General features: G+C 41.2%; 2 protein-coding genes across 2 annotated transcripts in view, besides 1 other annotated feature; both read left to right on the forward strand.

Moving 5' to 3' along the window:
- DDI2 (DDI proteasomal shuttling factor 2) overlaps window positions 1-20,312 on the forward strand; it is a 51,587-nt gene extending 31,275 nt beyond the window's left edge. Inside the window, exons 7-10 of the mRNA NM_032341.5 lie at window positions 988-1,091; window positions 2,974-3,163; window positions 7,885-7,947; window positions 11,105-20,312. Coding sequence (NP_115717.3) covers window positions 988-1,091; window positions 2,974-3,163; window positions 7,885-7,901 — 311 coding nt within the window. The 3' untranslated portion in view covers window positions 7,902-7,947; window positions 11,105-20,312. The remainder of the gene's footprint in view (window positions 1-987; window positions 1,092-2,973; window positions 3,164-7,884; window positions 7,948-11,104) is intronic.
- On the forward strand, window positions 10,981-13,301 carry RSC1A1 (regulator of solute carriers 1). Its single transcript, NM_006511.3, has one exon. It carries the CDS (start codon window positions 11,137-11,139, stop codon window positions 12,988-12,990), a length of 1,854 nt encoding a protein of 617 aa, NP_006502.1. The 5' UTR covers window positions 10,981-11,136; the 3' UTR covers window positions 12,991-13,301.
- Window positions 19,489-19,689: a silencer, noted in NCBI's record as "peak82 fragment used in MPRA reporter construct". NCBI's record gives its function as "represses an SCP1 promoter by STARR-seq MPRAs in K562 erythroleukemia cells {active_cell/tissue: K562}" and the evidence as "EXISTENCE:reporter gene assay evidence [ECO:0000049][PMID:32103011]".
- Window positions 20,313-20,604: the final 292 nt, after the last annotated feature.

Below are 20,604 nucleotides of genomic sequence, written 5' to 3' on the forward strand. Positions count from 1 at the left end.
CACAAAAGCAAATTCAGAGTAAACACCTAGATGCAGGGGAGGGAGGATTGCTTGAGCCTAGGAGTTTGAGACCAGCCTGGGCAACGTAGCAGACCCTGTCTCAAAAAAAAAAAAAAAAAACAACCCTAAAACCTAGATGTGGAAAGGAAAATTAAAGATTTTAGCAGAAAATACACAATATCTTGTGTAAGGAAGGAGTTCTTTAAAAATAGGTCATCTGCTGGGTGTGGTGGCTCACTCTTGTAATCCCAGCACTTTGGGACGCCAAGGCAGGGATGACTGCCTGAGGCCAGAAGTTCAAGACCAGCCTGGTCAATATAGCGAGACTCAATCTCTACAAAAAGTTTTTGGCTGGGTGCAGTGGCTCACGCCTGTAATCCCAGCACGTTGGGAGGCCAAGGTGGGTGGATCACGTGAGGTCAGGAGTTCAAGACCAGCCTGGCTAACATGGTGAAACCCTGTCTCTACTAAAAATGTAAAAATTAGCTGGGCGTGGTGGTGCGTGTTTGTAATCCCATCTACTTGGAAGGTTTAGGCAGAGAATCAGAGAACACAGGAGGCAGAGGTTGCAGTGAGCCGAGATCACGCCACTGCACTCCAGCCTGGGCAACAGAGCAAGACTCTGTCTCAAAAAATAATAATGAAAAGAACTTTTCAGCTGGACACGGTGGCTCATACCTGTAATCCCAGCACTTTGGGAGGCCAAGGTGGGCAGATAACCTGAGGCCAAGAGTTTGAGACCAGCCTGACCGACATGGCAAAACCCCGTCTCTACTAAAAATACCAAAATTAGCCAGGCGTGGTGGCACATGCCTGTAATCCCAGCTACTTGGGAGGCTGAGGCAAGAGAATCACTTAAACCCGGGAGGCAGAGGTTGCCATCAGCCAGGATTATGCCATTGCACTCCAGCCTGGGCAACAAGAGCGAAACTCCGTCTCTGTTTTGAAGTACGTAACAATAACCTTTTCTCTTCATGTGCTTTTTAGCTCAGGTTCAGATTGAAGGAGATTTTTTGCCATGTTCCTTCTCTATACTTGAGGAACAGCCCATGGACATGCTTCTGGGACTGGACATGCTTAAACGGCACCAGGTAATTAAGAGCTTCACTTATTTTTTTTGCATCTGCTTTTTGTAATATGGTCATTATCACATTATTTTTATTGGTTACATATACTGGAAAACTAAGAAATAACGACTTTTCAAACCTGGAAATGTCCTTAAATTATGTTGCTATACAGAGGTTGAAATGATGTGTCGATATAGATAGAATCTGTTTTTGTGAAATCTCTCTGTGAATCTGTTAAATCTTGCCAAATGTTTTGAGATTGTAAAGGACAGTTTGGTTCCCTTGTATAATTTTCAGATTCTGGTTAGATCCTGATTAGTAGTTTTTTGATGACCTGACTAAAAAGTGTGAGTCAAGTAAGTCTTTAGCATTCTCTGATGCTGATCAAACAGTACTTGGGAAGAAGACCTTCAAGGTTAAGGAAGGTATATGTTGGGAGTGAAAGTGTTTATTTAGTACAGGGTGCATAATTAATATATTAATTTGTGTTGATATTTATCTTTCTACTCTAAAGCACAATAATTTGAGATATACTGCCGTCGTTGAAGAAGCAGTTAGTCCACTGGGTATTTAGATGAGATTAGGCATGCTCAGGGTGGTATGGCTGTAGACCTCACTGGGTACTTCACATTTTTCACAGTAGGGTTTTATATCCAGTCAACCTGCCAGGTACAGTGGTACATGCCTGTAATTCCAGCATTTTGGGAGGCCAAGGAGGGAGGATTGCTTGAGGCCAGAATGAGTTTGAAACCAGTCTGGGTAACTTAGTGAGACCCTGTCTCTACAAAAAGTACAAAAATTAGCTAGGCGTGGTGGTACATTAGCTACTCGTGAGGCTGAGGCAAGAGGATCCCTTGAGACCAGGCTGCAGTGAGTCAAGATTGTGCCACTACACTTCAGCCTGGGTAACAGAGCAAAACCACATCTCAAAAAACAAAATTGAGTTAAAAACAATTGAAAATATAGCTAATCAATATTTTTATGTCACTATTTTAAAATATTTCTGTAAAAGTAGATGCATCATATTGATAATAAGACACAGCATTCTATTTATTTATTTATTTATTTATTTTGAGATAGCGTCTCGCTCAGTTGCCCAGGCTGGAGTGCAGTGGTGCAATCTTGGCTAACTGCAAGCTTCGCCTCCTGGGTTCACGCCATTCTCCTGCCTCAGCCTCCCGAGTAGCTGGGACTACAGGCACCCATCACCACGCCCGGCTAATTTTTGTATTTGTAGTAGAGACGGGGTTTCACCTTGTTAGCCAGGATGGTCTCGATCTCCTGACCTCGTGATCCGCCCGCCTCAGCCTCCCAAAGTGCCGGGATTACAGGCGTGAGCCACCACGCCCGGCTCACAGCATTCTAAATAGAACGAATGAATGAATGAGTGTATGTATCAATAAAACCTTGTCACTGCCTTTCCTTATTTTTTTAGTCATGGTATAGACCAGCAGTCTCCAACTTTATAGATGTAAATCATATATGTGCACAACTGTCTATTAAGTAGTTATAAAATACACAAAAAAGGAAGTTAGCATTAGCATGGAGTAAAGAATACTGTGGAGATTGCCTTGCGTGGCACAATCTTGGCTCACTGCAACCTCTGCCTCGCAGGTTCAAGTGATTCTCCTGCCTCAGCCTCCCAAGTAGCTGCGATTATGGGCATGTGCCACCACGCCTGGTTAATTTTTGTATTTTTAGTAGAGGTGGGGTTTCACCGTGTTGGCCAGGCTGGTCTGGAACTCCTGACCTCAGGTGATCTGCCCTCCTCAGCCTCCCAAAGTGCTGGGATTACAGGCATGAGTCACCGTGCCTGGCCATTTGTGATTGGAGTTTTAAATTAAGGAGCATAATTTTTCTGCATGGTGTTTTATCTGCTATTATTCTTTGGTTTCTTTCTTCCAAGTGTTCCATCGACCTGAAGAAAAATGTACTCGTGATCGGCACCACAGGCTCCCAGACCACCTTTCTTCCTGAGGGAGAGCTACCAGAGTGTGCCCGGTTGGCATATGGGGCTGGAAGAGAGGATGTACGGCCAGAGGAGATTGCAGACCAAGAATTAGCAGAAGCCCTTCAAAAATCAGCAGAGGATGCAGGTATTTGGGATGGCCAAACTCTTCAATACTTGTTATTGATGGGTAAGCCCGGGAAGTGTGGGCTTCAGAAGGGGTAGGAACCTTTCCAGTTTTTAATTAGTCTCATGGTCCAGTAGTAGATGTGTTCATTATTTGTCTTCTTAACCTCCTTCTTTGATCTTCCTTTTTTTTTTTTTTTTTTTTTTTTGGAGACATTGTCTCACTCTGTCACCCAGGTTGGAGTGCAGTGTGCAGTGTGACATGATTGTAGTTCACTGCACCCTTGACTTCCTGGGCTCAAGCAGTCCTCTCACCTCAGCCTCCTGAGTAGCTGGGACTACACCTGGCTAATTTTTTATTTTTAGCAGAGATAGGGTCTTGCTGTGTTGTCCAGGCCTATCTCCAACTCCTGGGCTCAAGCAGTCCTCCTGCCTTGGCCTCCCGAAGTGCTGGGATTACAGGTGTGAGCTACCATATCCAAACCCCATCTCTTAATACAATAATGAAAAAGTCTGTATTCTGGCCCGGCGTGGTGGCTCACGCCTGTTAATCCCAGCACTTTGGGAGGCTCCGGAGGGGGGGGGGGGGGGGCGGATCACCTGAGGTCAGGAGTTTGAGACCAGCCTGGTCATGGTGAAACCCCATCTCTACTAAAAATATAAAAATTGGCCAGGCGCGGTGGCTCACGCCTGTAATCCCAGCACTTTGGGAGGCTGAGGCAGGTGGATCACGAGGTCAGGAGATGGAGACCATCCTGGCTAACACGGTGAAACCCCGTCTCTACTAAATATACAAAAAATTAGCCGGGCGTAGTGGTAGGCGCCTGTATTCCCAGCTACTCAGGAGGCTGAGGCAGGAGAATGACATAAACCCAGGGGGCGGAGCTTGCAGTGAGCTGAGATCGCACCACTGCACTCCAGCCTGGGTAAGAGAGCGAGACTCCATCTCAAAAAAAAATAATAATAAAAATTAAAAAAAAATTAGCAGGGTGCAGTGGCACACCCCCCGTAACCCCAGTTACTTGGGAGGCTGAGGCAGGAGAATTGCTTGAACTTGGGAGGCGGAGGTTGCAGTGAGTCAAGATGGCACCACTGCACTCTAGCCTGGGCAACAGAGTGAGACACTATCTCATAAAAAAGAGAAACATTCTGTTTTTTAGTATTTCAACAGATTAAGAACAGCTCAGTCCATTGCTGTGTTTAAGATAGATTGGGGTTATTTTGCTTAGACACATTTTAGAAGCTTCCTAAATTTTTTTAGGAAGTTTTTTTTGGATGTTTTTGTTTTTGTGATTTTCCTAAAGAAAATTTTGACAGTAAGCAGATGTTAACTTTTGAGTCCAACAGTATTTCCCTATTTCTTTCCTTTTCTTAGGACTGTTTTATTTTATTTTATTTATTTTATTTTATTTTATTTATATAGACAGAGTCTTGCTCTGCTGCCCATGCTGGAGTGCAGTGGCGCAGCCATGGCTCACTGCAGCCTCAGTCTCAGTCTCACAGGCTCAAGCAGATCCTCTCGCCTCCGCCTCCCAAAGTATTACAGGCATGAGCCACCATGCCTCTTAGGCCTGGTTTATTTTGAAAAGTATCATTGCTACTGTGTGTGAGCAGCCCTAACTTCACCGAAGACAGAAGAACCAACAAAAAGAAGTATAAATTTTTATTTACTTAATTAAAAAAAAAATTTTTTTTTGAGACAAGGTCTTACTCTGTCACCCAGACTGATCCTCCCATCTCCCCTTCCTGACTAGCTATGACTACAGGTGCCTGCTACCATGTCCAGCTAATTTCTGTATTTTTTGTAAAGATGAGGTTTTGCCATGTTGCCCAGGCTGGTCTTGAACTCCTGGGCTCAAGCAATCCACCCGCCTCAGCCTCTCAAAATGACAGGATTATAGGAACGAGACACCATGCCTGACCAGCATAATTGAACGTTACTGAAAATGCAGTGTTATGGTGTGAGATTACAGTATTGTCATCAGGCCATATTAGCACTGTATATATTGAAATCATGCTACCTAATACTTTTTTCTAAGTCTCAGTTATTTAGCTTGTTTAAATGTAATGATGGAGCTAAGTTTTCTAGGTAAAATGGGGTAACAGTTTTGCTGAAATCCCCCATTTATTATAGAACGGTGACTCTGGGATGTATTTTCTAGAAGCTGAATAGAATTTACTTTTGAGTTTGGGTTATTTTACAGTCTTGTGCTGGCATTATTCATCAGTATGACTAGTATCACACATTGCTTTTTCTAGTACAGTAAATTATTAAGAGTTACAAGTTCAGGGAATAGCTTTATCCTAAAGACGAAAGTGGTAAGAGTTTTAAAAACAGCCAGGCAGCTTTTGCCACTGTTTTACTGGAGAACATTCAGATGTCTGTCATTGAGCTTTAGAATGGGTGTGGGTGGCAGATGGAGTTTTCCAGGTTGACTTTGTTCAGAATCAACTCCATCACCTTTTGGCTTAGTTTTATGTATAAAGTACAGTTTGAGTCAGGGCGTGGTGGCTTATGCCTGTGATCCCAGTACTTTGGTAGGCCAAGGCAGGACGACCACTTGAGCCTGGGAATTTGAAACCAGCCTGGGCAACATAGTGAGTCTTTGTTTCTACAAGAAATTTAAAAAAAAAATTAGCCAGCCATGGTGGCGCGCCTATGGTCTCAGCTGTTTGAGAGGCTGAGATGGGAGGATCACCTAAGCCCAGGAGGTCAAGGCTGCTGTGAGCCATCATCGCTGCCACTGCAATCCAGCCTGGGTGACAGAGTGAGATCCTGTGTCCAAAAAAAAAAAAAAAACAACAGAATTGACTCCCATCACTTTTTGGCTCAAGTTTTTATATTAACTACAGTTTTGGTTGTAACTTAAGTATTTTGTAGGAAGGGAGGAATTTTGAACAACCAGACAGAGACTAACTTAATAGTTTTAATCTTACCTGCAAGGTAAGCTTGAATGAATTTGACATAGCTCCTTACAAGGTTTTGCATTTGGGGTGTAATTTATCATCTTAGTCGTGATGCTGTGTGTTAATATGAGGATATATTATCATTTTATGAAATGTCTTTTTTTTTTTTTTCCTTTTAACCTCCACAGTCTTGGTGCCATTATTTAAGAAACATTAGCTGATAATAGCAGTGTTTTCTAACCTACTAATAACAGTTATCCTTTTTTGGTAATTACCTTATTTTAGTAAAAGTTTGGAAGATTAAAACAGATACACATATGTTTCCAGGCTTAGTGAAGGGGATGTACCAACTTCAAAGAATTAAAAAGAAATGGCTTTTTACCTAAATAACCTTTTGTTGCTGGTAGTATAGCTTGTGCTAATTTTTGTAATGTTTAAGTAATGAAATAATTCTACATATCAGGTCCTTTTTATTTAGAACATCGACTTCCTAATATCATCCGAATAAATACTCTGGACATAGTAGGTGAAAGTATTTTGTTAACAACTTCTTTCTGGCCAAGCATGGTGGCTCATGCCTGTGGTCCCAACACTTTGGGAGGCTGAGGTGGGGAGATCACTTGAACCTATGGATTTGAGACCAGCCTGGGCAGCATGGCAAAACACTTGTTTCTAAAAAAAAAAACCACGGCTGGGCGCAGTGACTCACGCCTGTAATCCCAACACTTTGGGAGGCTGAGGAAGGGTGGATCACCTGAGGTCAGAAATTTGAGACCAGCCTGGCCAACATGGTGAAACCTCATCTCTACTAAAAATACAAAAATTAGCCAGGCATGGTTGTGGGCGCCTGTAATCCCAGCTACTCGGGAGGCTGAGGCAGGAGAATTGCTTGAAGCCGGGAAGCAGAGGTTGCAGTGAGCCAAGATTGCACCACTGCACTCCAGCCTGGGCAACAGAGTGAGACTCCTTCTCAAAAAAAAAAAAAAAGAAAAAAAATTAGCCAGGCATGGTGGCATGCACCTGTGGTCCAGCTACTTGGGAGGATGAGGTGGAAAGATCACTTGATCCTGGGGAGATCAAGGCTACAGTGAGTTGTGGTTGCACCACTGCACTCCAACTTAGGCAACAGTGAGACACTGTCTCAAAAAAACAACAAAAAAAAGAGCTTATTTTTTAAATACTTTATACTCTATTATAAACTCTATATTAAAATGTTTTAAAAAAAAAACATGTTTTTGATAGTAGGGATGGTGTCTCACTATGTTGCCCCAGCTGATTTTGAACTCCTGACCTCAAGGGATTCTCCCTCCTGGACCTCCCAAAGTGTTGGGACTGCAGGCCAGAGTCACTGTGTTCAGCTTGATGTATTATTTAAAAACTGATGAAAAGATAAGCTAGGATAGAATTTAATTAAGTGGTTTGTTTTCCTCTAAAATTGAATCTCAGCTGAGAAAGAAATTTGGAAAGGGACTGTTAGATATGTTCACTCACCTTTACTCCATAAGATTTTTTTAATCACCTAATTCGATCAGGTGGATCTACTTTCTTCACCTGTCTCACATTTGCCCGTGAATTCTCTATGTGTAGAAACAAAATTAATTTCTTTACAAGATCTATTAAAAATCTGTTGAAATTAACAGATTGCTGTGTGTATTGTGAGAGAATGGAAGCAACCAACAAATATTTTGGATGTCCAAACTACAGAAACATCCCTCAACTTGGAATCTACCAGTTCCTGATTTTAAAGATGGCAAAAGAACGGAAACTATAACCCTGCATGCTGTGTGGTTTGCATTGTTAACCCAAGTTTGCTTGTCTGTTTCCTAATTCACACAGAGCGTCAGAAGCCATGATGCATGTAGTGTGTGTGTACTGCAGCTGGAGTGGGCCCCAGACCAGGTATTTATAGACACCATGTTAAGCCTTCCATCCAGTTGTCATCTGTGATCTGACAGTCTGTATCCGCAGCAGTTTGGGAAGTTAGCATTTGTCATTCACCATTTCACCTTGTTCAATCTGGTTACAACTAGCCTATATGCATTTGTATTTTGGCATGCATACATGGATATGTAACATAAACTCCTGTTTAAAAATGGATTCGTTATTAGAACCATCCAACAGGGAGAAAATCCCAGTTAAAACAGTGTCTATTATATCTACCCCATCTTGGCTACTATAAATATCACATCAAGAATATTGGCCTCACAACACTTTGTTGTTGGAGATAACTATGCTTTCATGGGTTTCATAAGTGCCTTTCCTCTGAAAAACTGAAAGCTGTTCTTTTACATTACTGCATACAACTACCTGGAGTTATAGAGGGTTAGAAATTTTAATTTTGTTGAAGAAGAAATGGAAACTTAGGCCAGAGGACTTGTCAGGGGTGACTCTGAACAACAGGAACTAAGACTTTGCTTTTCCTTCTGTCTCTGGCCTGACAGATTTTCAGGAAGCACTCTGCTTCCATTTCCTCTGATGTAAATAATGGTAAACATCAGCTCGAATACATTGGCTGACTTACTAAGAGGAGGAAAGATGGTCTTTTAAACCAGCATCATAAGACTTTGTAGGAGTTTGCAAGCTGGTTGGAATTAGATACATAGCATTTAGTTTCTCTTCTTTCTTTCCTTTTTCTTTTCCTTGTAAGGATAGGTTAAAAGCAGGCATAGTTGAATTATTCTTAATATCCACTGTCCTCATCCTCTTCTCCTGTCATTCTGTAAACTGACCTAGTCCTCCCCTACGTTTAGGACTTAGGCTAGTGAAACTGACCTTCTCAGCTACAAGAGGACTATATGCTACTTTTTTAGTACAAAATTCATTGAGGGTGTGTTCACCTTGACCTCACTTGTTTATAACTAACACACAAATACCAGAAGGCCCTTACCATACCTCTTTATGTTGCTTACATGGATATTTCACTACAGTGCATTGTTTCTGTTAACATTAGTTCAAAATTCAACCTCTTCCAGAGTCAGCCTTAGTTTTAAATAAAACTAATAACTGTTAGACATCTGGTGGTATGAAAATAAAAAAACTAATAACTGTGTTTCTAGACTCTAATGGGTATAGCCTAAACTGAGATAAGTGCAGTTTTCCTTTTTACTCCTAAAGTGTAAGTAAGGTAAGATTGTTTCATGGGAAGTCAATAGCTTCCTGAAACAATGCTTTGTCTTCTCATGCTGTTAACCAGTAGTTTATTAGAATGATTTAAAGCCTTTTGAATATAACTGCTTTGCTGCTTTTTAAGATCAAGCCCTCTTGTTGGATGTTAACATTTAGTACTGAGCATTTGAGTTGCATCTGTCCTAATAATAGATTGTATTTTGAAGTCATTTTTGTTACTGACCTTTTGATTTTTATTTTTTATTATTATTATTTTTTATTTTGACTGAGTTTCACTCTGTCACCCAGGCTGGAGTGCAGTGGTGCAGTCTTGGCTCACTGCAACCTCTCCCTCCTGGGTTCAAGCAATTCTCCCACCTCAGCCTACCTAGTAGCTGGGATTACAGGCACCCACCACCACGCCTGGCTAATTTTTGTATTTTTAGTAGAGATGAGGTTTCACCACGTTGGCCAGGCTGGTCTCGAACTCCTGACCTCAGGTGATCCACCTGCCTCGGCCTCCCAAAGTGCTGGGATTACAGGCATGAGCCACTGTGCCCAGCCCTTTTTGATTTTTAATTAAAGATCTTACAATGGTCGGGTGCGGTGGCTCTTGCCTGTAATCCAAGCACTTTGGGAGGCTGAGGCGGGCGGATCACCTGAGGTCAAGAGTTTGAGACCACCCTGACCAACGTGGAGAAACCTCATCTCTACTAAAAATGCAAAATTAGTCGGGTGTGTGGCGCATGCATGTAATCCCAGCTACTCTGAGGCAGGAGAATCGCTTGGACCCGGGAGGCGGAGGTTGCGGTGAGCTCAGATGGCGCCATTGTACTCCTGTCTGGGCAACAAGAGCAAAACACAGTCTTAAAAAAAAAAAAAAATTCTTACACTTACATGCGTAGAGGTCAATTTTTAACTGGATTGGTGGCAAAAGAAGAGCTGGAAATGATGTTTAATGATACTATGATGCTTACACTGAGCCGTCTTGTTTGGGTGGTCTAAGGTAGCAGTGAATCTAAATAGTCATTGCCAGTTGAAAAACTATTAATGAACCATCTCCCTCCACATTCCCCTTTCTTTAAAACATTTAAATATTCTTAACTTAGTTGCACACTATTGATGTGATAAAAACTTATAAGCCTTTTAAGTTTAGAGTTGTATTATTTGGTAGGATGATGATTGTGATTTAATCTGCTGATCATTAGTTTACTTTTGTTTTCTGAGTCAGATGCTCACCCAGTTTTACCATGATTTTTGGAAAGCTTGGCTAGAAATAAAATAGAACATTTGCTTCTCTGTCCCCAAGCATTATGTTATTTCTTATTTCTCTTTATAATTCCCTCTCTGTCCAGGTATACCTGGTTTAAGACTTCTCATTTGTAACCTCAGTGTTCACATTTGAAACAAGAAAAGTGCATTAACATGAGAATCATTCTGGTGCAAAGATTCTCAGGATTTGTAATATCCTTAAGAATCACCCAAGGAGCTTATTGAAAATGCACATTCCTGGATTTACTCTCAAGTATGGTACCCCAGGGTCTGCATACTTCACAAGCGTCCCTGGTGGTTTTAGGGCAAGTGGTGAAAAAAGTACACTTGGAGAAACTATTCTAGAGTTGTAGACTAGACTAGGGAATAAAGAAACATAAATGTCCTTCATTCCTGAGCACTAACCCCGCCATTATGTGAATGCATATTAATGGATACTTAATCACATTGAATTACAGTATGCAGATTTTATTAAGAACATGTCTACCTCTTATTCTGATGCTGTGAATGTCTACCACAATGAGAAAGTAATTTTAAAATCATTTCTATTTGTGTAAGAGAAACCCGAGTTTGAGGACCTTATTTTATTCTACGCTGTTTAGATTTGTATCCTCTGGTAATTTAGTGGCATTAGTCACCTGCTAATTAATCTTTTTCCTTTCCCCTGTGTTCCATATAGAGAAAAGTGGTAAAGAATCTACCTCACTGGGAATGTCATCATTACCAACTTCAGATGGGTTTAACCATCCCGCCCGTTCTTCAGGACAGAGTCCTGATGTTGGTAATCCTATGAGTCTTGCTCGCTCTGTCTCTGCTTCAGTCTGCCCTATCAAGCCCAGTGACTCAGATCGCATTGAACCTAAAGCTGTGAAGGCTTTGAAGGCTTCAGCTGAATTCCAGCTAAACTCTGAAAAGAAAGAACATCTTTCTTTACAAGATCTTTCTGATCATGCTTCCTCAGCAGACCATGCTCCAACAGACCAGAGTCCAGCTATGCCTATGCAGAATTCATCCGAAGAAATAACTGTTGCAGGTAATCTGGAGAAATCTGCTGAAAGAAGCACCCAGGGCCTCAAATTTCATCTCCATACAAGACAGGAAGCTAGTTTATCTGTCACATCTACTAGGATGCATGAACCACAGATGTTTCTAGGTGAAAAGGATTGGCATCCAGAAAATCAGAACCTGAGTCAAGTGAGTGACCCTCAGCAGCACGAAGAACCAGGGAATGAACAGTATGAGGTTGCACAACAAAAAGCTTCACATGACCAAGAATATCTTTGTAACATAGGGGACCTTGAGCTTCCTGAAGAAAGGCAACAGAATCAACACAAAATTGTTGATTTGGAAGCTACGATGAAAGGAAATGGGCTCCCACAGAATGTGGATCCTCCAAGTGCGAAGAAAAGTATTCCATCTTCAGAATGCAGTGGCTGCTCAAATTCAGAAACATTTATGGAAATCGATACAGCTCAACAGTCCCTAGTTACTTTGCTTAATTCAACAGGCAGGCAGAATGCCAATGTCAAGAACATTGGTGCATTGGATCTCACTTTAGATAATCCCTTGATGGAAGTAGAAACATCAAAATGTAACCCTTCATCTGAAATTTTGAATGATTCCATTTCCACTCAGGATTTACAGCCCCCAGAAACTAATGTTGAAATACCTGGAACAAATAAAGAATATGGCCATTACTCCTCTCCAAGTCTCTGTGGCAGTTGTCAGCCTTCTGTGGAGTCAGCAGAAGAATCTTGCCCGTCTATAACGGCAGCCTTGAAAGAACTTCATGAACTTTTGGTTGTTAGCAGTAAACCAGCTTCAGAAAATACATCTGAAGAAGTAATCTGTCAATCAGAAACCATAGCTGAGGGCCAAACCAGTATTAAAGACCTTTCTGAAAGATGGACCCAAAATGAGCATCTTACCCAGAATGAACAGTGTCCACAAGTCTCCTTTCATCAGGCCATATCTGTATCAGTGGAGACAGAAAAATTAACAGGTACTTCATCTGACACTGGAAGAGAAGCTGTAGAAAATGTAAACTTCAGGAGTCTAGGTGATGGCCTGTCAACCGATAAGGAAGGTGTCCCCAAATCTAGGGAATCCATAAATAAGAACCGTTCTGTCACTGTAACCTCAGCTAAAACATCCAATCAGTTACACTGCACCTTAGGTGTAGAAATTTCACCCAAACTTTTAGCAGGTGAGGAGGATGCACTCAATCAGACTTCTGAGCAAACTAAGTCTTTGTCATCCAATTTCATATTGGTTAAAGACTTAGGTCAGGGCATACAGAATTCAGTAACAGACAGGCCTGAAACCAGAGAAAATGTCTGTCCTGATGCTTCGAGGCCATTACTTGAATATGAACCACCTACCAGCCATCCATCATCAAGTCCTGCCATTCTTCCACCATTGATTTTTCCTGCCACAGATATTGACCGCATTCTCCGTGCTGGCTTTACTTTGCAGGAAGCTCTTGGAGCTTTGCATCGAGTTGGTGGGAATGCAGACCTTGCACTTCTTGTTTTGCTCGCAAAAAACATCGTAGTTCCTACATGACTGTGGGAAAGTGGGCTAGACCGTTCTCCATTCCCTTTAAACAAAAGAAAGCTCTCTCTATATACACGCACACATACACACTCACCACATATACAGTATATATAGAAACCTGCAAGCAGAATGTTGAGCCAGATTTTTTTTAAAGATTTTTTTCGGCCAAAGTAATTTATGATCTTTTGTCTGATGAATTTGTCTATCCTACTTGTTAAAATTTAGGCCTTTTTAAATGTATTGGCAGTATGTGCATACAGAAGCTTTTTATTCTCATTAAGATGTATCCTGGAATAAAATGGATGGTTTTGTGTGTAGCATACTGTTTTAGAATGAGAGTAAATGCTTTGAAAAGCAGAAGCCATGAGAAATCCCACTACCCATCCAGCTAAAAACAGATGAACTCTCCACACTGTGACTGTGTGTCTGTGCTGATGGCAAGGTATGGTTTGCTGGCTCAGTTGTCAATTTAGAAACTTTTGACCACATAATTTGGTGTTTGGAATTCTACCCAGTGCTCTGTGTATCATGATTCATTAATTATAACAGGAAATTGGAGAATAATTGAATATCTTATCGTAGAGTGGTATGTTTTTATTTGTGTGCTTAGGATTTGACATTTTAATAGGGCGAGCAGGAGGGTTTAAATCTTGGGCTACTTTGTGCATCACAGGCTGCTGCATGGATTGCCATGAATCCTTATTACATTGGATGGGATATTGTGGGGGAGTTACAATGCAAGTGAAACGTGGTGCTACCCAGATTCTTAAAAGAACAGAACAACCATAATTCCATTTGCAGATGTCAAGAACTGTGAGGGAAAAATAATGGCCTAAACACTGGAATTTGCTAGAGTTTGGGTTTGCTAGCATCTCACTGATAACACCTCAACCCTTAATGACTAATGGTGGAATTAAGTTCAGGAATGGATTCATTGCCAGCAGCTTATTTCCTTTCTAGACTCTTCTGCCAGGAAGTTCTTCAAACGCTCAGTGTGAGCTGTGATCTGAGTGAAATACTAAGTGTGATAACCTTGTCACTGGTTAATCTTGGTGCTTGGAACGGTCAGTCTATTTGGAGAGTGTCCTTTGTGGCAGTGGAAATAGTAATTACAGTTTCTGACTTAAGTGGCCTTGGTAGAGTTTTCCATCCTTTTCTTTCCTCAGGAGTTTCTTTTTTAAGCAAAATTCATCTTATTTGTGTTTACCATGTCAAGTTAGAGTGGGGCATAATATATAGATGTATTTATTGTGGCCTTTTTTTATATAAGGACTAGCCCTTGGAAATCATTGTCCTGTGGGCCCCACTGTGCAATAATCCTACTGGATAGGTTTTAGATAATTCTTTCCTGGCAAACTGCTCTTTTGGGTACCTAGCAGGAATCTGAAGTCTTGGTTTTATTGAAAAGAATTTTGAGATTCATAATTTCTGATTCTAGATTATAGTTTGTAACATGTTTGAAACAGAAGCTTCGAAAGAGTGATTTCTCAACTTAGTGTTAAATGATTTTGTCTGAAGTCTGACTCTTTGTAAGCTTGTTTGTTTCATCAAATTTTAAGTCATTGAGCACAATCAAAATGGAGGCTCATATCTCAGGAGTTTTTGAAATTTTAATTTAGGGGCACTTAGAGACATTTTTTTCTACCCCATCCAACTTCTTTCTTTCCTTTTGCTATGATGTTTGTATGTATGTTATAAGACTTTAGTGATGGGATGGCGTGTCACGTAGATTCATCATGATCCTTTATGTAGTTAGGAAATGGTTGACAGAAGGAATTGTAGTTTACTGCTTTTCAGAGGGCGTGAAGAACAACAGGTCAGCCAGGTTGTCTTTAAGATGTTCTTTTAGACAGCTGCACATTGTAGACCCTTTCACCTGCCCTACACCAAAGATGTACGATGCACTAGGAAACTGCTCATAGGATTTCTGTCAGCTGACTTAAAGCTGTGATTGTAATTAAATAGTTGGTGCTATGATTGATGCAAAATCTAGTAGCAATGCAATGGGACCCTGTATTTGCTTTATGGGTGGTGGTTTGGGAATGTATTCTAAGCTTATAAATCTTTGGAACCACGGGGTGGGAAGGGTGGGGGAACTTACTGATGACAATAGACTCCCTCCTAAAGGGCCTTCCATGTAAGCAGAACGAACCTTGGCACACAATTCAGTGTGGATATTTGGGAAACAGTTCCAAGTGGAATATATAATATCAGTCGGGAAAAGATTTCATTAGGATAGCTTTTTGTGTATGTATATGTATATTTATTTTTAGGAATAGATCTATAGTTGTACATGAATTCCTGTTAGGAATACTCTGAATGAGCTTAACCCACTTGCCAAATATCCTTGTCCCTTCCATCATTTTATTTTTGAGATGGGGTCTTGCAGTGTTGCCCAGGCTGGACTCAAACTCTGGGGCTTAATCATCCTTCTGAGTAGCTGGGACTACATAAAGGCCAAAGTATAATTGCTTTTGATTTTTAAAATCTTCTTGCCCATCATTTTTATAAAAATAAAGCTGTTTGTCCAACACGGTGAAACCTCATCTCTACTAAAAATACAAAAAATTAGCTGGGCATGGTGGCACACGCCTGTAATCCCAGCTACTTGGGAGACTGAGGCAGGAGAATTGCTTGAACCTGGGAGATGGGGGTTGCAGTGAGCCTAGATCACGCCACTGCACTCCAGTGTGGGCGGCAGAGTGAGACTCTGTCTCACCCAAAAAAAAAAAAAAAAAGCTATTGACACTGTTAATATTTTGGATGACTTAAATTTAGCAGCTCTAGAATGCAAAGGGTATATTAAGGAGCATTACAATAGTGAACCTTCATCGTCAGCTTTTATTCAATTAAGAGCTCCAGAAATGCAGAAATTATGGGTTAACTTCTAAGAATACCATCAAATCCCTGTGAATTCTGGTTGCCAACAGTAATAACCAGTAATGGGCACCTTTACCGGACAGCTCCTTTACCATAACCAGTAGTGGGCAGTTCTGCGGTCAGCACTTAACTACAAGGGCGGTCTCTGTTTCTTCACCAGAGAGAGAAGATTTTCCTGTGTAATTTGTGCCATTTCCCTGAAGTTGGTTCTTGAGCGGAAAGATGTGCTTGGTAACCAGACAGCAGCTTTACATAGGTTATAGATTTTGCTCATTGATGCTGTTAAGAATTATTTCCACTCATACCTGTTCAGGGCTCCAGACAGCCAATAGCCTTCATCCCACAGTTTGGGCTTCAGCTATTAACACATAAAGATAACCAGTTGCAGCTAGGCTCGGTGGCTCACACCTGTAATCCCAGCACTTTGGGAGGCCAAGGCGGGTGGATCACCTGAGGGCAGGAGTTTGAGACAGGCCTGGCCAACATGGTGAAACTCCATCTCTACTAAAAATACAAAAATTAGCCGGGTGTGGTGGCCCATGCCTGTAATTCCAGCTACTCGGGAGGCTGAGGCAGGAGAATCACTTAAACCTGGGAGGCGGAGGTTGTGGTGAGCAGAGATCACGCCATTGCACTCCAGCCTGGGCAACAAGAGCAAAACTCTGTCTCAAAAAAAAAAAAAAAAAAGGTAACCAGTTGCTTGGCAAAGGAAGCTGGAGAGATGGCGAGTGCATGTGTTAAAACTCTTCTGCCTTGCAGCCCACATCTTCTAGAGCTCCCTGTCTTCATATGTACTAAAGGGAGACACAACCCTATGTGTTTTTTCCCAAAGCATGTCTCTAGCAAGAGGGTACATAGAAATGGAACATGAGGCTTTTTGTCACTGATTTTATGATAACCAGTTAATGTGGAATCTGCTGGTTGTCTTACTACAGCTTTCTATCTCCGGTGAAAGCCATAAAAATTTAGGTTAACTTTTAAGCTCATGTCTATATATATGTGTGTAAGCTAGCATATACATATGGTGATTGACAAGTATAGTTAATTTTATATGGATTTAAAAGCAAGCAATTTTTATATCTACAGACGTACTCTTCACTTATGGTGGCTTTTATCCCGCCACATATATAAATATATATATATATAGCAAACAGCCTTGCAAATCATCGGCCAGAAAAGCTGCAGGGCGTTGCAATGGCCTTTTCCTACCTGTTTGCCACCTGTGGTGAGGGTGAGCAGGATGATTGAACTGCTGCATATTTCAAACCTGTTATCACTGGCAGTGTGTCCCAAGAGAAGCTGACCAGATTATGCATTCTACTGTTCTCTAGCACAAGTACTCACCAAAAAGCCAAATTTCCCCTTTGGAGTTGGTGACTTAGTGTAGTCTGTGGCTGACCTAGAAAGACACAGAGTTATCAAGAGTTTCCCTTCCTAGAAGATGAATGTTACCTTTTGTGTTAGGAGGTAGAGAAAATAAAAATAGCTTTTTTTTCCCTAGAATTGCTAATTACTCTTAACAACAAATTAAATTCAAAGCCTGTCCTTGAGAACTGGAAATGTAAAATCATGGTTCAAGTTTTATACCTTAGTGATTCCTCAGTAGGTGTTACTAGGAGTTCACTGAATGAACTTAGGAGTGAACCTTCGATGTGCTTGATTTTCTTTTGTGCCTTAGTTTCTCTGAATAGCAGAGGCATCAAATTTTGGTGGGGAATGAGAGGAGTATTAGGGGAAAGTTTGAAAATAGCTCTCCTGGAGATGGAGGGCACACAGAGTGGTCCTCAGGCTCACCTTGACTGAGTTGATTCACAGTTATCCTGCATCAGACCATTAGATTTCTTTAGTGCTATGATTATAATAGGGATTTTTGAATCACCAAAAACAGTTTTTAGATGTTTATGTTCTTTGTTTTACTATCAATGTTGTGCTGGTTAAGGGAGAGAAAAGTTCAAGAAGATCTTACATATTTGAAAGGAAATTGGTACTCTTGAAGGCTATGCAACATGAGTCTTTGAACAAGAATTCCTTGCTACTTTGATTCATTCATCAAATACTGAGTGCCTGTGTGCCAGGCACAGGTGAACTCTGGGGATTCAGGGGTAACTAAAACAGATTGGAACCCTGCCCTTGTGAAGCTTTCAGTCTAGAAGGGAGACGTGAAACAAATTTTAGCTTCAAAAGCAACATCTATTTTTGCCTGTTAGCATGCATTTATTTTAAAAGTCATATTAGAGTTACCTGGTTCCACTTCAGAGCAGACTGGGAAAATCAGGCTTACAATGGAATCAGATGCTGTGGGCCTAAAACAGCTCTTTAAAAATCTATTTTTTTAGGCCAGGTGCGTTGGCTCACACCTGTAATCCCAGCACTTTGGGAGGCCAAGGTGGGTGGATATGAGGTCAGGAGGTCGAGACCAGCCTGGCCAATATGATGAAACCTTACCTCTACTAAAAATAAAAAATTAGCCGGGCATGGTGGCACATGCCTGTAGTCCCAGCTACTCGGGAAACTGAGGCAGAAGAATCGCTTGAACCCGGGAGGCGGAGGTTGCAGTGAGCCGGGATCACGTCACTGTACTCCAGCCTGGGCAAGAGTGAGACACCGTCTCAAAAAAAAAAAAAATTTTTTTTTAAATGGAATCAGAGAAACCAACAAAATATGTAACATGTATAAATGCCTGAGGAGATCAGTTATTGAGAAATCCATTTACAATGCTGGAGGAGAGGGGATGGCCAGGAAAGAAGTGCAACAAATAAATGGAAGATGACCCTAAAAATGCACCAGTGACAGTCAGTCAATCCATCAGACCACCTCACATGCAGGGTAGAAACATGGAGTGTGCGGCAGCATCCTCCTCACATCCCTTTGTGAGCACGGCTGCTCCGGAATACTGACCATCTGGGCTAGCACGACTTAGCAGAGGGTTCTGCAGGATGTGCTATTTTAAAGCAGCTGGGTGCAACTTGTGAAAACGGGAATCTAGAGCAGAACATGTAATCAGCGATGGCTGGGATTGGTGGACAGGATTGACAGGAGTATTTGAGGCTCTACCAGGCCTGTCTACAGGACAGCTTCATCAAAGGGACATTTTTTAACCTGTTATTTTAAATGCCACATATATGTTGTAATGCTGAAGCATACAGGTAGAATTTCTGGATCGTAACTACTAGTGACTTCTGAGGTTTACAGTTAGAAAATGTTCTCAAAGGTTTATCAGTTATGTATTGATGATTGGTAATCTAGACCCTCTGGAGGCTGTAGAATGTGAAAAGATACAGCTGAGCTGACAAGTTTTAGGGCACTATCTTCTGGAATGAAATCGGCCAAGAAAATGGTTCAAGGGCATGGGGGTTAGAGAATGTTTCTTTTACCTAAAAATGTTAAGCCAACTATGGAAGATTGGGGTCGTGGGGGCATGAAATACAAAATTATGATAATTTATACAGAACTAGGTTTCTTTATGTTCTGCAAGAAGGTTTTTATTAGCTAATTTGGGGAGGGGGGCATGCTGCAGTATTTTTTTTCCTGGGAACATGCATTTCTGATGGGAAGTTATTTTGTTTACAAGAGTTGGTTTTACACACAACCCTGAATGAATGTGTCTATGGCCTAAAAATGGTAGACCTGTATTTCCTTCCCGAGGCAGGCTGATTCGTTTCCTGATTCCTTCTGTCTGAGATTACCTGATGCTGACCAGACTTATTTTTCCTTTCCTGAATCTTCACAGCTGAGTTTATGGCACCCATCCAAGACCTTCCCATTTGAATGACTAGATTTCTATTCTATCCCCGATCATCCTTTTGAAATAGTTCTAGTGATAAACTCAGAGAAATTCAATATATTGATTGAATTTTATTTTTTCGCTTTGTATCTACAACAGAAATTGATTTGTTCATTTTTATTTCAAATCTCTTCATGGCAAGTTGGGCTAATGGACTTTGCACTCAAGAAAGGTTTGTTTACCAGTTTTGTAGCCATGTTTGGCAAATCTTAGCAACTAGAAACCCCGTCCTTTCTTTTCCTTCTTTATATGTTCTTGCAGTTACTCTTGTATTGCAAGATTTTCTGACTTTAAGCTTTGAGACTACTGCATCTTAAAAGAAGAACTAGGCTGACTGGCAAAAAGTCTTGCCAGTGGCCCTGTCACTCCCATGATGCTTTGGTTTTGAGAGTTGGGAAAACTCTGAGAACTTAAGGGAACCAAACTCAGGAATCCCAAAATTGGTGGCATTGTGCCATTCGTTTAGGGGCTGAACATAGGACCTGTCTGAAACTGAGTGAGCTAGATGCATTTGGGTTTGAATTTTTGTCACATACTGAAATGTAAGTCAGCCCTAAATAATCAAAACACTTTATTTTATTTTTCTTTTTTTAAATAGGAACTTTCTGAAGAAAAAGTGGTGTGTAAAACATTTGATATTTAAGACAATAAAGTTTTTATCATAAGACTTCTGTTTGATCAATTTCTTTTAAATTGAGGTGGTTACTTCAGTTAGACAAGGTGGTGTCCTTGTCTCTATCTCCCTACTCCTTTAAATAGCTTATACCCAGACATTGTAATTTATGGCGTGTACCTGAACCCCAGAAGAAGTGGGCCTCTCAAAGCCATTAACTTCCAGATTAGTACTGCGGGAGGACAGCTCCCTGCTGATGTAAAAGATGCGCATTTTGGGCCAGGCACGATGGCTCACACCTGTATTCCCAGCACTTTGGGAGGCCGAGATGGGCGGATTACTTCAA

Source organism: Homo sapiens, chromosome 1, assembly GCF_000001405.40.
Source record: "Homo sapiens chromosome 1, GRCh38.p14 Primary Assembly".
NCBI classification, from domain to species: domain Eukaryota; kingdom Metazoa; phylum Chordata; class Mammalia; order Primates; family Hominidae; genus Homo; species Homo sapiens.

Bases quoted from the DNA above. Each gene is read 5' to 3' on its own strand.
- RSC1A1 (NM_006511.3), top strand. From the start codon at position 11,137: ATGTCATCATTACCAACTTCAGATGGGTTTAACCATCCCGCCCGTTCT.